This window comes from Homo sapiens, chromosome 10 (genome assembly GCF_000001405.40).
Source record: "Homo sapiens chromosome 10, GRCh38.p14 Primary Assembly".
NCBI classification, from domain to species: Eukaryota; Metazoa; Chordata; class Mammalia; order Primates; family Hominidae; genus Homo; species Homo sapiens.
The window spans coordinates 5,556,200-5,571,199 of record NC_000010.11 but is presented as its reverse complement, the minus strand read 5'-3'; the positions used below and the strand labels follow the sequence as shown (position 1 = coordinate 5,571,199).

The 15,000-nt window shown below is 51.9% G+C and overlaps 1 long non-coding RNA gene across 1 annotated transcript, besides 3 other annotated features; it reads left to right on the top strand.

Annotated features, from left to right (window-relative positions):
* Nucleotides 1–4,318: 4,318 nt before the first annotated feature.
* LOC105376381 (uncharacterized) lies at nucleotides 4,319–8,039 on the top strand. Its single transcript, XR_001747274.2, has 2 exons — nucleotides 4,319–4,664; nucleotides 5,895–8,039. It is a non-coding gene; the product is annotated as an uncharacterized LOC105376381 (long non-coding RNA).
* Nucleotides 7,030–7,256: a silencer, noted in NCBI's record as "fragment chr10:5605907-5606133 (GRCh37/hg19 assembly coordinates)". NCBI's record gives its function as "represses an EF-1alpha promoter that drives an FKBP-Casp9 reporter gene in an ReSE screen in HepG2 liver carcinoma cells {active_cell/tissue: HepG2}" and the evidence as "EXISTENCE:reporter gene assay evidence [ECO:0000049][PMID:32094911]".
* Nucleotides 9,969–10,470: an enhancer, noted in NCBI's record as "H3K4me1 hESC enhancer chr10:5602693-5603194 (GRCh37/hg19 assembly coordinates)". NCBI's record gives its function as "activates a minimal SCP1, AML or CMV promoter by ChIP-STARR-seq in naive H9 embryonic stem cells {active_cell/tissue: H9 hESC(naive)}" and the evidence as "EXISTENCE:reporter gene assay evidence [ECO:0000049][PMID:30033119]".
* Nucleotides 13,127–13,449: a silencer, noted in NCBI's record as "fragment chr10:5599714-5600036 (GRCh37/hg19 assembly coordinates)". NCBI's record gives its function as "represses an EF-1alpha promoter that drives an FKBP-Casp9 reporter gene in an ReSE screen in HepG2 liver carcinoma cells {active_cell/tissue: HepG2}" and the evidence as "EXISTENCE:reporter gene assay evidence [ECO:0000049][PMID:32094911]".

Here is a 15,000-nt window from a genome sequence, read left to right as displayed (position 1 = left end):
AAACTGGCACTCAGAGAGGTTGAGCAATTTTTCTGTGATCACACAGCTGGTAGAACCGAGATGCTTCATCACCTCTTTTTGAATCAGATGAGGGCAAAACAACCCCAAATCATTTAACTTGTTTACACTTAGAGTAGAAGTTGAAAAAAGGGGAAAAGAAGGGGTCATGGTTGGGTATCTGGTATCGATGATGGCAATTACGTTCATCTGGATACACAGGAACCAAACCCACACCCGGATAAAGGGAAGAGAGTTTTGCAGATGGTCATTGCAAATCAACAAAGCCAGCATCACTGAATGCTTCCTGTGTGCAGGTGCTGGCTGGGCCAGGGTCCCTCTTTTTGTTAACAACCAGTTGATGTGAACCCCTTGATGGGGACCTCTGTCTAATGAGAGAGATGGAAGAGCTCATCTTCTCACTGAAAGGAGCATTCAGTTCAACTTAATGAATGTTTACCACATACTTATTGTAGGCCAGGCTTGACGACAGGCACTGGGTGCCTGCAAAAGCAAGGCAGGGACCCTGCCTCCAGCTAGTGAGGAGGGGGACCGATGTCCAGGAAGAAGAATTAGCACTCAAAGCCCTGGACACTGGGCTTCCCTGACACCGCCCCACCGGCCTCCTTGGGCCAGATGAGACCTGTGATGCAGCTGGACGCAGTCCCCGAAGGCTTCACAGTCTGGTCCCCATCCAGCCCTGCGCCCTCCGCCCTCTGCCCCATCTGCATGTAACGGAAACAGATGGGCGAGCTGGCTTCTGAGTCTCGTGCCCCTGCATGCAGACCCGGGCCCTGGAGGAAGTGTGCCTGCCTGGCTTCAAAGCCATGGCCCACCCTTTCCTCCAGAGCCAGCCTGGCTGTGGCGCTGCCTGGGCTGGTGGATGCCAAGTCTGTGCCTGGACATCAAAACAATGCAGCCTCCCTCTTACCTCATCTCTCCGCCTTTGTGGCGGACAGCTCACGGCCCACTCTGTGCTGGAGAGGGCAAAGCTTCACCTCTGGCGCATGTGCCCCTCCTTCAAGTGTCTCCCCGTCGTGCCGGGTTCCCAGGCAGCTCTCCTCGCAGACCACGGATTTTCCACCAGGCCTTGCCTGAGATTCCACACCTGGGCTCATCGTCAGATTCACCTGGTGGGCTTCTCGGAAGTATCTGCTTCTTGTTTGGTCCCTCAAGAATATTTCCAAAGGTTTCGGGGGAGCCTAGAGATCTGTTTTTTTGAGAGTGTCCTGGGGGATCCTGGCAGCAAACCAGGCTGTAAGATGCATGTCCCAAGCCAGGCTCCCCAAATGCACATTTTGCTGGGCTGCCGTTCTCTTGTGAAATGTTTCCCAGAAACTTTGCCTGCAAAATCTTCCTTTCCTGGAGATTTGTGATCACAGTGACACACTGAGGGACTGATGAGCCTTTACAACAGATAGCTGTTGTCTAAAGGTAAACACACTCTTTTGAGAGAAGATAATTTTTTTTCCTGGCATCACAATGGTTTTTTCTAGGACTAGAGAGGAAAGTCTTACTCCAGATGTTTTCTTACTTCTTCCCTCTTTTCCATAGACACATACCTACCTTGTGCCCATTCTTTCCACGGGTGTCATGGAATCATAAGGGAAAAATGACTGGAGAAATGAATCCTGTGCCATTCATTAACTCATTAGTGAGTTCTCACCTCCCAGGAAAGATAGTTCTGTGATCCAGTTTAAATATTTACATTTCCATGATGCTTTTTAATCGAGGATCTTAACTTTAGAAATATCAGACTTTATGACAGATGGAGAAGGGATTTGGGGGGGACTATGAGCTTTTGAGAGCAAAATTTATTAATTCATTCAACCAGCCAACAACCAATCAACGAACCAACCACACACCAACCACACACTCATTCACTCACCCACCCACCAGCCAACCAACAAATCACCAACTGCCTATAAACCACTAACCATCCAAGCAATCAACCACCAACCAGCCAACCAAGCACTCACCTACCTACCAACAAACCAACCAACCACTCACCCACCTACCAACCAACCAACCAACCACTCACCCACCTACCAACCAACCAACTAATCAACCACCAACCAACCAATTAGCCAATCACCAACCAACCAGTCAAGCACCAACCAACCACCAACTAACCAACCAACCAAAAACCACTTACCCACCAACCAGTCAGCCAACAAACCACCCGCTAACCAACCAACTACTTACCCACCAATGAATCAACACTTTATATTAAATAAGGTGCCTTTAAACAGAAACATACATAAAACAAAGTTATATATGGATTGGTTGACAAAAATGCTATGGTCAGGGCTGGTAGGAACATACCCCATATTTCTCCTGGGAACAATGGTTCAGCATAATTGTCTCTTGGTATCCTTGGGGGATTTGTTCCAGGACCATCTGCGGATACGAGAATCCAAAGATATGCAAGGCCCTGATATAAAATGGCATAGTGTTTGCATATAATCTATGCACACCCTCCTGTATACTTTAAATCATTTCTAGATTACTTATAACACCTAATACAATGTAAATACCATGTAAATAGTTGTTATACTATATTGTTTAGGGAATAATGGCAAGAAGTAAAATAGACATGTTTAGTACAGATGTAACCATCATAGGCCTAATTACATTATCAATCCAGGGTTGGTTGAATCTGAGGTTTTGGAATCCATGGATTCGGAGAGCTGACTGTATTTGCTAATTCACTGTTCTTGGTGACTTTAGAGAACAGAAGTACTGAGAATGACAAGCATTGACTGTACTTTGTCTAATACTGAGAATGAAGGAGAATAAATGAGAATTCAGGAAGCATAAAACAAATTAGTTTACAAAGTCTGAGATAAGCTGGCATTTACTGATGATTTGCTTAGATACAGATCTCCCGGCCCTTAAACGTTAACTACAGTTCACAACCGTGTTGCCTGAGCCCCTAGTTGTTCTCCCTTCTAGCTTCTCTCCATAATTTGGGAGGAATTTGACACTTTTGTGGTCAAAAGCAAGAGAAACTGAGACCCTCTCTGAGGTTCACTGATAATTTTATTCTGTTTTTAAAAATAAGGCCAAGATATAATAAAGTGCACAAATCTATACAGTTTGATGGACTTTTGTGTATGTATACAAGCATGAAATCATCCCTTGAACCAAGGTTTAGGGCATTCCTCCTTAGATTGTTGTAGGTCTGAGAGACACACCTCCTTATACCTGGTGTATTCATCAGAAATGATCCCATGTGACCTTCGGAGAGATATCGCCTCCTATAGCCACAGCAAGGATGTGGTTTTTGTCTTCAGGCTCATTAAGAAGTCCATATATTGATAAAATATATAACATTCACATCATAAAACAAAACAAACCATGCAGATGGATAGGAAAAGAAGGGGTATTGCCTTAAACTATGGTGGAAGACAACATTGTTATTTATTAGTTAATGAGCTGATTCTTTGAAAATGATTAACTTCTAGAATATAGATGTTGAACAAGGTAGCATTCCTCCTTATCACTGAGCAAATATTTGTGGATGGCTATTTGGATGCTAATAAAATGTATTGAGATCAATACCTTCTTCATAATTTTTGGCTCGTAAACATTTTGTTCATATCCTGGAGACTCATGTGTGCAGCACGTGTTTTTCACTGGATGTAGCAAAGCTTGTGGGGTGGCTTTCCTTCATAATTGTCTTCTGTGGATTTATGGTCAGCTTTTGTTTCAACAAAATCAACTACCAAAGAAGCTTGTGACCATGAGTTTGTGAGAAATCTTCAAATTCATTTTTGTTATAGGTGGTATTTAGTAGGTTTTTGTTCGTTTGTTTGTTTGTTTGTTTGAGACGGGTCTGGCTGTGTCACCCAGGCTGGAGTAGAGTGGCGCATTCTAGGCCCACTGCAACCTCCGTCTCCCTGGTTCAAACAATTCTGCTTCAGCCTCCTGAGTAGCTGGGATTACAGGCACATGCCATCATACCCAGCTAATTTTTGCATTTTTAGTGGAGACAGGGTTTCACCACGTTGGCCAGGCTGGTCTCGAACTCCTGACCTCAGGTGATCCACCCATCTCGGCCTCCCAAAGTGCTGGGATTATGGTGTGAGCCACAGCACCCAGCCTTTTTCTGAGAAAAAAAGATAGATATGTAATAATCTTGCATGATAGGTTTTTTGTTCTGTAGGGTTCTCTGGCAGCCCCTGTTTTATCCATTGGACCAACTGTCTGTAAAGGCAGGTAACTTACTTACTTCTTTCTCCTGGAGAAGGACTTTTTGCCCTAACCGAAGCACACTAGTCACAGAGTTGTCCTAGTGACAAAGACACAAATTGAAGCTGCACTCAGTACTCATGGCTGATCAAGGGAAGTGAGCTCATCTCACCTTGACTCACAGCGATGACAGGTTCAAGCCCCTGCATGTGGGCCCGTTCCTCAGAGGATGTTTGCAATGGGGGTGGGGGTTGCCATGGTGATGCCCAGTCAACAGAATGGAGAAAAGAGAAATTTGGTTTGAAATGAAATTTGAGTCTTGAGAGAGGGCTGATATGAAGGAGAATCAAACAAGCCACATGGGAGCATCTGAAGGCCTGGAGATAAGGGCCTGTTGCATGGCTGTGAAAATTTGGCCTTTAAAATAACTAGGCATGGGCCAGAAATCACAGCCGGCGGCTGCGACCACCCAAGTGAGTCAAAGGGAGCTGGATGAGAAGGTGGGGGGCACGCCTGGGTTAGGGTCCTTGACAGTTTTGTCCAGATTGGGTTTGAGTGTGGGGTGTCCTCATGGGACTCTGGTGAGTTGGGGGTGGGAAAGGCGGTTGACTCCTTGGGGGCTGGTCACCACTCAACAGCTGTTCTCCAGTGGCACTTTATGAAGCAATGTTAGCAATGGGAGCTCCCCTGCCAAGATGTGGGTGGTCGGTACCCAGTGGCTTTCAAAGCCAGCAACCCAGGGATCTCACAGAAGTCCATCAGCCTGAAGGCAGGCACGTGGGAGATGACTAAAACCAGGTGATGTAGGCAAGAGGTACCCTCAGAACGCCCTCGAGTTGCCCCATTGTTCTTTTCTGTGCTGCCTGTGTGTGCAGCCGCTGAGCTCCTTGTGTTTTCGGGAGGTGGAGTATGCACCCCTGTGGGCTCATCCATCCTCGCCCTCATCATCCTCCCTGGCACCGTGCAGACTCTGAGCTTCTGCCCGCCCCACCCAGGTGTCTCATCCCACCTGCCTCGGGGAGCCTGGCTGAACAGCAGGCACCACCCTGAGCCACCCCTTCCCAGCCAGAGCAGCTCCGGTCGGAGGCTTCCTCCCAACAGGCGGGCTTCTTAAGCCTCCTTAATCTGCACGGAGGAAATTCAGAAATCCAGTCATCCTGAAACCATCTTCCTTCGGGGCAGGACAGAACCCGTGTGTGTGGGTAGATGAGTGTGGATGGTGGGGGTGGGAGGCACATTTGTCATCGTGCTCAGCCCAGAACTTCCCAGATGTTCAGGCCAATCAGGGTGAACCCTTGAACTTCCCTGGGCCTCTGATGCCCGGCTAGTGCCTCAAAAAGCCTCATCCGCGGGTGCTTAAAAAAAAAGACTTGAGGCTTCTTTACAGACACAGCTCATTCTAGAAATCTTCCAGCCCCAACATCACCAAAGGCGAAGAGAAGAAGGAAACTCACTATTCTAGCAGTCCCTGGGCCAAGAGCCTGTTAAGCCATTTTACGAGCCGTCCCCTAAAACATGACAATTCTGCCAGGCAGGTGTGGCAGAAGCGGGGCTATGTCTTTCCCAGAACACTGCAGCTTCAGCATGTCCTGCTTGCAGCCGGGGCCCCTGGGAGTGATGCTGGAGGACACCACCTCCAGGCTGCCCCAGAAACCTCCTGCCCAATACTCACACCGTCTCTCTTCATCTGTTGACCACTTTAGGGCAGGAGATCCAGCGGGGGACTATGGAGCTCAGTGGAGCTGCGGCCTGGGAGAAGCCCACCCAAGAGAACCATGTAACTAGAAACCATCACATTCGGCTTCGTGTGAGGGAGAAGCAGGTGTTTCATTGCACGCAGTTACTGAGATCTGGGGTTGTTTGTTATTGCAGCAAGGACCCACCCTAACACACGAGGTGTTATATGCATTTTACAGATTGCCAAGATGGTACAGACAGCAGAAGTGGCAAAACAACACTTAAACTCAAACCTGCCCAACTTCAAAGTCCACGCCCTTCCCTGGGCTTCAGACTGCCGTCTTTGATGCTATCTTTCATTGAGATGTTGTTTGCATTAAATGGGGGATCTTGCGGCACACGGTGGACCTTGCCCAGCACCCACTCTTCCTAGGGCCAGCCTTACTCTGTGGGGTCAGCCTTTGACCGTCTGGGCCATGAAGGTGGCTGATGAGGCCCCTTCGACAGCCAAGTTGGGGCACAATCTCCTCCGGATGTTGTTATTCCTTCACAGTCTCATCGCAGGCGGGGAGGAAGTCAGAGGGCTGATTTAGAGGACAGAGATACAAACAGAGTGAGCAGAGGATGTTTGGCTGCAGTTGCTCCAGAGTTTCAAGGGAGAAAACACAAGCATTGCTGAGCGGCCATTAGGGGCTTGCACGCTCAGCTGGGCACATGTCCACACCGAGGCATCACGTGCGGTCTGAGCTGAGCTCTCATCTCTGGGTTTCAGGACTTTCAGCACAGTCCTGGCCCTTCACGTTTAGTCTGGGTGATCAGGGATGTAAACCAGCAATTGCAAGGTGGTGAAGCACCACCGTGGAAGGGCACCAGCCGGGCCCTGGGGTCACAGAAGTGCCCCAGGAAGTGTGGCCGTTAAGCCTGGTGAGAGGAGAGCGAGCCGGGAGGACGGTGAGAGACAGGCATGACGGGGCGGTGAGTGTGACTGCTGCTGAGCATGTCTGAGACGGCAGGCAGTCACCAAAGGCTTGTAAGCAGAGGCAACACCCTGACTTGTGGTTTGGAGAGATCATGGTGACTGCCGTGCAGGGACGGAATGGAGGCTGCTCCAGTGACTCTGGCCGTGGGCAGTGGTGGGCGGGTGAGGGGACAGAGGAAAGTGGATGGAGTTGCTGCCCCCACAACCCTGCTGAGAAAGTGCCCACGGGACCTGGCGGGGTGTGAGTCACACTTGGGCTGCTCTGCCTGGCTCTGCACCTATTTCGTGAGCTGGAAGGGACAGCCTGAGCCCCGTCCCTTGGATGGACATCAATGCAGGAGTAAGGGTCTGTCTCTGAAGCTCTCTGAGCAACGGAAGGGAAGGTGCCCACTGGGCTCAATGCAGAGATATTGGGGCTGATGTGGCAGGAGGGGTGGGTGTGCAGGCCCGGCGGGGAAGGAGACTTCCAAACAGACGGGCTGCCCCACGGGGAATCTGGCTGGGGCCAGTCATTCTCAGAGTCAAACCATCTTCATTCAACTCCGAGGCTGCCCCAGGCCAGTAGCGTCCTTCCTGAGAGCGCTTCCTGCGAGATTTATGAGGCAGGGGCCAGGCCTGGATCGTAGAAAGCTAGAGAATGCCTTGGCTGCCCAGGGAAGTCTGGAATTTCTTCCAAACCAAGCTTCCAGACGTCCCTCTGGACTCCTCTGTCTGAGAATGGGCACTTTAAAGGCCCAGGAGAGAACTCCCATGACACCGTTTTCCAACCTCCCATCTCCCCTCCCCGGCAGCTCCCCATTTCCGGCATCTCGGCTTGGCAGGACCCCTCCAGGACCTCACTCCTCTGAGACGCACTGCAGACCTCACAGGTGACAGCAGCGTTTTGCTGACTCAGAGGCAACTACCACGATGACCCTCCAGCCCGTGTCCAGACCTGGGGCAGCGACTTGGACAGGGGGCTGCAGAAGTGGGTCTGTGAGGGGGACCTGACGGGGGGCTGCAGAAGTGGGTCTGTGAGGCGGACCTGGGGGGGCAGCCCTGGGGTGGGCTCACTGGGGTTCACTCCACCTCGAAGACTTCAATTCCAGCTCTGGCTGGTTTTGTTGGATTAGGAACACACAGCCAGCCAAATCTTGGTTACTAGGGTGCCAGAGATCACGTGGAGAAATGAAATAAAGAGAGAACCCCCAAACGGTGGTGCTGCCATGCATTGGAGCCTCTCGCCCCAACAGCATTCTTACTTTATTTATTTATTTCTCATCCACATTTTGCTGGAAGATTTTGCGCATTCATAATGGCAAACAGAATATGGCGATAAGCTTCTGTGTACACTATCATCAACAGCTTTCAATTCCTAATTAACCTTATTTTATCAATATTCCCCATAATCCCCCATGCTGTTTCTTGGCAAATCTAGATGACCCACCATTCCAGCCTTAAAAATTTCAGTGTATAACTGACCAAAGCTTTTTATTAGAATTGCTAGGTAGGGAGGAAATTTAAGTTTCTATGACTATGCCTAGTAAAGTTTGAAAAGAAGACAACGGGGGAAATAGACATTGACAATTCATATTGAATAATTGCACAGAGACAGTTCCTTTGTTTGAGGCTAAACCGAGACAGAGCCTCAGATACCCTCACTCACTCCTCTCTGGCTGAGAGGGGAGGAATTTTCGTCTGGGTCAGGGAGCAATGAGGTGGGAGTTTTGTGCTTCGGTTCTGGGGTGGAGATGGAAGGTCATAGGTAGCAGTCCAGTAACTGGCCCCATAAATGGTTCTGTGAGGCAGAAGCAGCTGCTTTGTGGAGGACTTGTGAGACTCTGAGGGAGGAGGAGGGAGGGCTCACGCACACCAAGGCGGCCCCCATTGTTTGGGTTTTGGGAACCCTGGGAGACAGTGGCCGTGGTCTCTGGTTCCCCTCACTGGGGCTCCAGGAGCAGTGGCCATGTTCAGACCAGAACAAAGGGGTCAGGACCAAGAGGATAAAGAGATACAGGCATGGCTGCTGGTGGGACCTGGTGGTCTGACAACAGAACACCACAAGACATCCCTCAGGGACCGTGTGTCCTTTAGAGACACTTCCCTCCACAGGGATGTGGCCATCAGATGTCTGTCCAACCCGAGAGCTAGCTGTGCAATGGGCCCAGTGTGGAGGTATAGCCAGTGGGAGGGCTGGAGCCATGGTCGGGAGTGGAGGGGTTGCCTGCAGTGCCTGTGGACGGGAGGGGCACCAGGAGAGGAGGGTCTGGAGGGGGACACCAGGAGAGGGGGATCTGGGGGGAGATACCAGGAGAGGGGGATCTGGGGGTATACCAGGAGAGGAGGATGGCGGGGGACACCAGGAGAGGGGGACCTGGGTTTTACCAGGAGAGGGGTACCTGGGAGGATACCAGGAGAGTGCACCTGAGTGGGACACCAGGAGGTGGAGACCTGTAGGGGGAATGCCAGGCGAAGGGGACCTGGAGGGTAACACCAGGAGAGGAGGACGGGGGTGGGGGGACGCAAGGAGAGGGGCAGGGCTTGGAGTCACTCTGCCATCTTGGGCTCCTCAACTTTGGGATGCCAGCTCAGCCTTTCTGAGACTGGGTTTCCTCATCTGTAAAATAGAGGGATCTCCCCACAGAGCGTTTGTGAGGATTAAAGGATCAATTCCAGAAAAAGGCTCAAAGCAACGCCTGTCCCGCGCCCGGCCCACAGTGAAGCTGGGCGTCGTTACTCCTGCTGTGGTCACTGGTGGTGTGAGGACCGCAGCACAGGGCAGGAGGGACACGGCCCACAGGGCGTCCGGCCTCCTTGGCACCTGCTCCAGGGCCCTTCCCGTCACCTCCTGGCTCCTCCGTGCACGTCTTGCTCCAGCGCTGCGTGGCCGCCTGTCCCCATTGCTCCGGAGCCCTTTACATTCATTTCTCCTCACCTGGGACCCTCTTCCTCCCCTCTCTGCAGTGGAGGCTCCCAGCCTTGTCCAAGGGCTTCCTGGGAAGTCACTTTCCCTCCGAAGCATCTCATGCACCCTCCGGGCACCCTCACCCCTCCAGAGGTCCTGTGGCTCCCCAACTAGTGGGTGACACTGTCCTATTGCTGGACGCCATGGCTTCGAGGGCCTGTGTTACCCTTGGGCAGGGCCTTTAGTCCTGCAGGCTTGGACTCTGTCTTATTCATCCAGCCCCTGCATGCCTGGCATGGGCCAGGGCCTGGGCTGGGGGCTCAGGAGATGTAGTTGGATCTGAATGCTGGGTTGGAGAATTCTGTAAACACATAGGATGCAGGGTGAGTGGCCGTATGGGACATGAGCAAAGTCCTCTGGGAACCTGAGGCGCAAACTCTGAGTTCATTTTCACACCCTCCATGGTGCACACTGCCATATACCAGCAGGTGCCCCCAAACGCACAGCTGAATGACAGAGAGAAGTCAACCCGTGCAGGCTTCATCTGACTGTCTCCAGACGACTGGGTCCCTGGCCCTGGGCGAGCCCCTCCCGGAGGGTCTCCCTGCATTCTCTGCCAGGTCTGGGCCCAGGACCATCCTCTGGGGGATGGGTGTGTTGACTGCTGGCTGTAGAGTGTGGCCTGTATCTGCCCCTCTCTGGGTCCCACCCTTCTGGGACTGTCTCAGATTTGAGGAAAGGAAGATGGATGTTGTCTGGTCCGGTCCGTGCCTCACCGTAAGGTGTCGTGTTGTGCTTTTGGCCACTGAAGATTTTCCCTGGTCTCTGGAGCTCCAGCCAAGCTCTCTGAGCGCCAATATCATGTTTCCGTTTTCCCGCTGTTCTCAACAAGCAGCTATGGATTGACTGGTTGATCGCAAGGCTGTTTTAAACAAAATAGAATATATTTCTTTCAAGAAGTCCAAAGCTCTCAGAAGAGCATTTCCAACTTATTTCCAATAATCTCTAATCTCTGAACAATGTCAACCCATCACTCCTAGATCTTTCAGGCACTCCCCATCCCCCCACGCTGACCCTTTCCTGTCTCACACACACTGTCTGGAGATAAAACTGTGGGGGGCGGAGGTCTGGGAAAGAGAGAGAGACACATACACACAGAGAGTCAGAAAGAGAGATCAGAGAGACAGAGAGACAGAGACAGAGACAGAAAGAGTTAGTGAGATCAGAGACAGAGATTCAGAGAGATCAGAGAGAGAGTCAGAGAGACAGAGACAAGAGAGAGGGACTCAAATATGTTTCAGACAAGAACCTGAAGCAATTGAGTCAAAGTTCTGCAAAAAAAAAAACCCACGAAATTTAATTTTAGATGGAAAAAAAATGACGAACCCCTTTGAGGCCTGCCTGTTAGTTTTGGTTGTGTGTCATTGTTTAAATATTCTTTGCATTTCCCCTCGCCAAAGACTCTAGTTAAATTAGAGCCAGCTTAAAGCACGCTTTATTTATGGCCGTGCCTACCCCCAAGCCTCGGGGTTGTTTTGAGCCAGCAGGGAAGGTGTACTTAATATAGAGCAGGAGGGTATGTGTGCAATGTTCTTTGAATGATGATTGCAAGGTGCACAGAGAAGATTTGACTTTATTTAGACATTCGGTTTCTTCACAGTCTCCTCTCTGGAAGGGCTCTTGGCTTCCTCTCCAGACAGCATGTGTGTGGTAAGGAAAAAGCCTGCATGTGGAGGTCTGTGGGAGGAGGTGTGACTGCAGGATCGGGGTAAAAGATTTTCATTATGAGGGAGGGTGCGTCACCCACACTAGGAATTCCCAGGAGGTGCAGTTTGATTAAATATTTGTATGGTCCAGGTTACCCTCAGCTACCCCGATAGTGGGTGCTCCCCGAGGCAGTGTGTATTTTGGGGAACAGTAAAAAAAATCCACGCTGCTTAATCAGAGATAAAACATTCAGAGACGGCAATGATTGGTGCATACCTGCGTGGAGGGTCTACACTCTAAAATATTTGCCAGCATATTATTCTCAACTTATGAAGCAACACACCAAGGCATTCTGGGTAGAGGGGGAGACCCATAAAAAAGCTTGTGCCTTTAATAAAATGTGTACCGGCCGAGCGCGGTGGCTCACACCAGTAATCCCAGCACTTTGGGAGGCCGAGACAGGAGGATCTCTTGAGCCCAGAAGTTTGAGGCCAGCCTGGGCAACACGGTGAAACCCCATCTCTACAAAAAATACACAAATTAGGTAGGTGTGGTGGTGCATGCCTGTGGTCCCAGCTACTCAAGAGGCTGAGGCAGGAGGATCACTTGAGCCGGGGAGGTCAAGGCTGCAGTGAGCTGAGGTCGCACCATTGCACTCCAGCTGGGGTGACAGAGCAAGACACTCTGCCTCAAAAAACAAAATAAGCAAAAAAACCACGTACTTTCATAAAGCTGAGTTGTGTTTGCAAGGACACGTCTCCCCTATAAGGAAGACTTGGGAGAGAATTGATGCTGAGAACACCAGAGCTATCCTCAGACAGTGCACTCCTTGTTTTAAACTAAATTCAGTAAATATTTTGGAGGATTTTTGATGTGTCAGATACACTCACTCTTTGTCCAGGGCAACTGGGAACTGGACGAAGGGCAGGACCTGGGGTTCCTGAGTCTGCTCAGTTACTCAGGAGCAGCCCAGTACCACCCGGGCTCCAGAGAGCCTGTTCCCTCTGAGGGGACGTCGGGGGCCCTCCAGAGGAAGGCGACCTTAGAGGTGCACCTGCCAGATAGGTGGGTGCTCTTCCTGTGCCCTGGCACAGCTTGAGGGTGTGAAGGCAGCCGAGTCTCCTTCCTGGGGACAGTGGCCTCGCCTCTCCCTCCTGGGCAGCAGCTTGCCTCCAGGAAGGTGGCCGAGGGCACCGACTCCTTCCCCAGTGGTGGAGGATTGGGGCTGCAGTCAGGGGTGGGGGCAAATGGCTAAGGAGGCAGCGTGGGGGTGGCGTCCAGCCCTGTGCAGTGCCCTTGCCCCCACCGCTTGCCCTTCTAGCTTCTGGACTAACCCCTGCTGCCTCCGCCCAGGCTCCTCTGGGGGTCAGAGCAAAGAGGACAGGGTGAGGGGACATGGTGCTGCTGGTTCCGGGTGCTGCCTTCACCCTGGGAAGCTGGCGCCAGCTTTCTTGGGTGGGGGCTGCATTTACATAATGGTGAGTTCTCTGGAGGAACACCCCCAGCAGCATACGGGGTCCTCAGCACCACAGCATTCCCTGATGGGCAGATGACCCCTCCGGCCTCTCTGTGCCTCCTGCATCTTCCTGCCGTGGTCACCCTGGCCACCTCCTTCCCGATGAGCCCAGCCCTTCCCCGGCCACCTCCTTCCCGATGAGCCCAGCCCCTCCCCGGCCACCTCCTTCCCGATGAGCCCAGCTCCTCTGCAGCACCCACTCAGCTCCGGGGACCCTTGCGCTCCCCACGACATGCCACAGGGCACACTGTTGAGTGACGCTGGCCGGTTCTCCTGGTTCTGCCCAGAGACCCCCAGGGGCGCTGCTCTCAGGCCTCTTCCCTGGAGCACTGAGCTTCCCGGCCACGTGTCGCACAGCCTCCTGGCAGCCTCAGGGACAGATACCCCTCAGCCAGGCAGCCCAGCGGGGGGTCTCAGGACCTGCTCCCTTGGCTGGTAGTTGGAATGCGGGGGCAAAGAGCAACTCCTTTCCTACCCTTCCCTCGGGGAAAGGGGAAGACATGCCCTGTCCACTCCCAGACCCTCCCAAGGGAAAAGAGGCTGCAAAACACCATTTGGTGAGAGGCCTGGTGGAGCCAGGAGACGCAGGCGCTCAGGGAGAGACAGGCCCCTCCACACCGGGGCCTCCTTCTGGAAACTTAGTTAGAATTTGTCCCTGAATTATAATAAGACAGCCTCTACTTTGAAAAGAAACCGGCTTTGATGTATTGTTTGGCGGCAGCTCCCCAACACTGAGATCTGACGTGCCCCCAGATTCCCTGGGCTCAGAAAACAGGACACGCCGAGGACATAGAAGCCTGGGTGAGCAGACCCCAAGGGAAGCCCCGGTGTTAGAGAGGAACCTCCCTCCGGAAAGACGCCGGGTTCCTCAGAGGGCCGTTTTCATGTGAGATGGGGATGTTTTATTGGGTGCAGTGGCAGGACCAAGGGCTGGGAGCAGGGAACCTCTGGGCTTGCCCTGGAAGCTTCCATATGGGGGCAGCCAGGCAGAAGCCTGTGGGGTGAGTGCTGCATGCCACAGGGGTGGAGGAGTGGGCTCCCTGGAGGAAGATCTCCTGATCCTCAGGCCTCCTCCAGCACCAGGCGCAGAGCTTCCGCCACCAAGGATGTTCCAGCAGAGACCACACAGCCGCGTGGCCTGGACTCGAAGCCATCGAAGTTTTGAATCTCTAAGTCCTTATTTCTTGCCAGCCCAACTATTAATAAATCAAAAGCTCCTTGGAGCGTTGGTTTTTATTTTCTTCTCCCCTAGAACAGTGTGGAAGGAATGAGTGCCTGCTGCCCATGGCCAAGAGACCCCTGACCCCTGGTGATGAGGAAGCTCTTGCTTGTCACTCAGCCCCACATGGTCTGGCATTCACGAGCCCAGTCATCACTTTCTAATCAGGAGATGTCTTATCCTTTTATGGTTTTGTTCCCACCCTTGCGAGGTCAGCTGAGGGTTGACCCTTTGTCTCAGGAAGGTGGCAGGAGCCAGAGAGGAGCAGCCCGAGGTGCTCGGAATTGTACCTGCTCAGGAAGCCAGGCATAGAGTCCACGAAGCTTCACTCCTGAGCCCCTGGGGAGCATTCCTGGCAGCGTCGGCACAGGCAGAACCATGGAAGGAGTCGGCGTCCACCCCGGGACTTGGTGGTACCCAGTCTTCTCCTTGCACACAAATGCCACCGTGCCTGTCATTCAAGTATTGCTTTACCTAAAAGGCTTGAATTTGGAGGGGGAGGCAGGGGACATTTTCATCTCCTAAACAAGGTATTTCTATAGTATAGTCGTTGCTTATCAAAATCACACCTTACTTTTGAAATTTAAAAACATGCAAAAAATATATTTGAGCAGTTCTCCCTTGGAGTAAGGGGATCCCCATTACAAGTGCAAAATCCTCCTTGAGGGGTAGAACCAGCTCATTAACCCCGTCACTCCCTCCGAACCCTTAAGCATGGCTAGTTTGTTAGATTACATACCACAGAATGATCTGGAAAGAAGGATTGCATAACTCGTCAAGGAGAGTGTTGGTTTTGGGCATGGCATGGGGGTGGTGGGTTGGCTGGG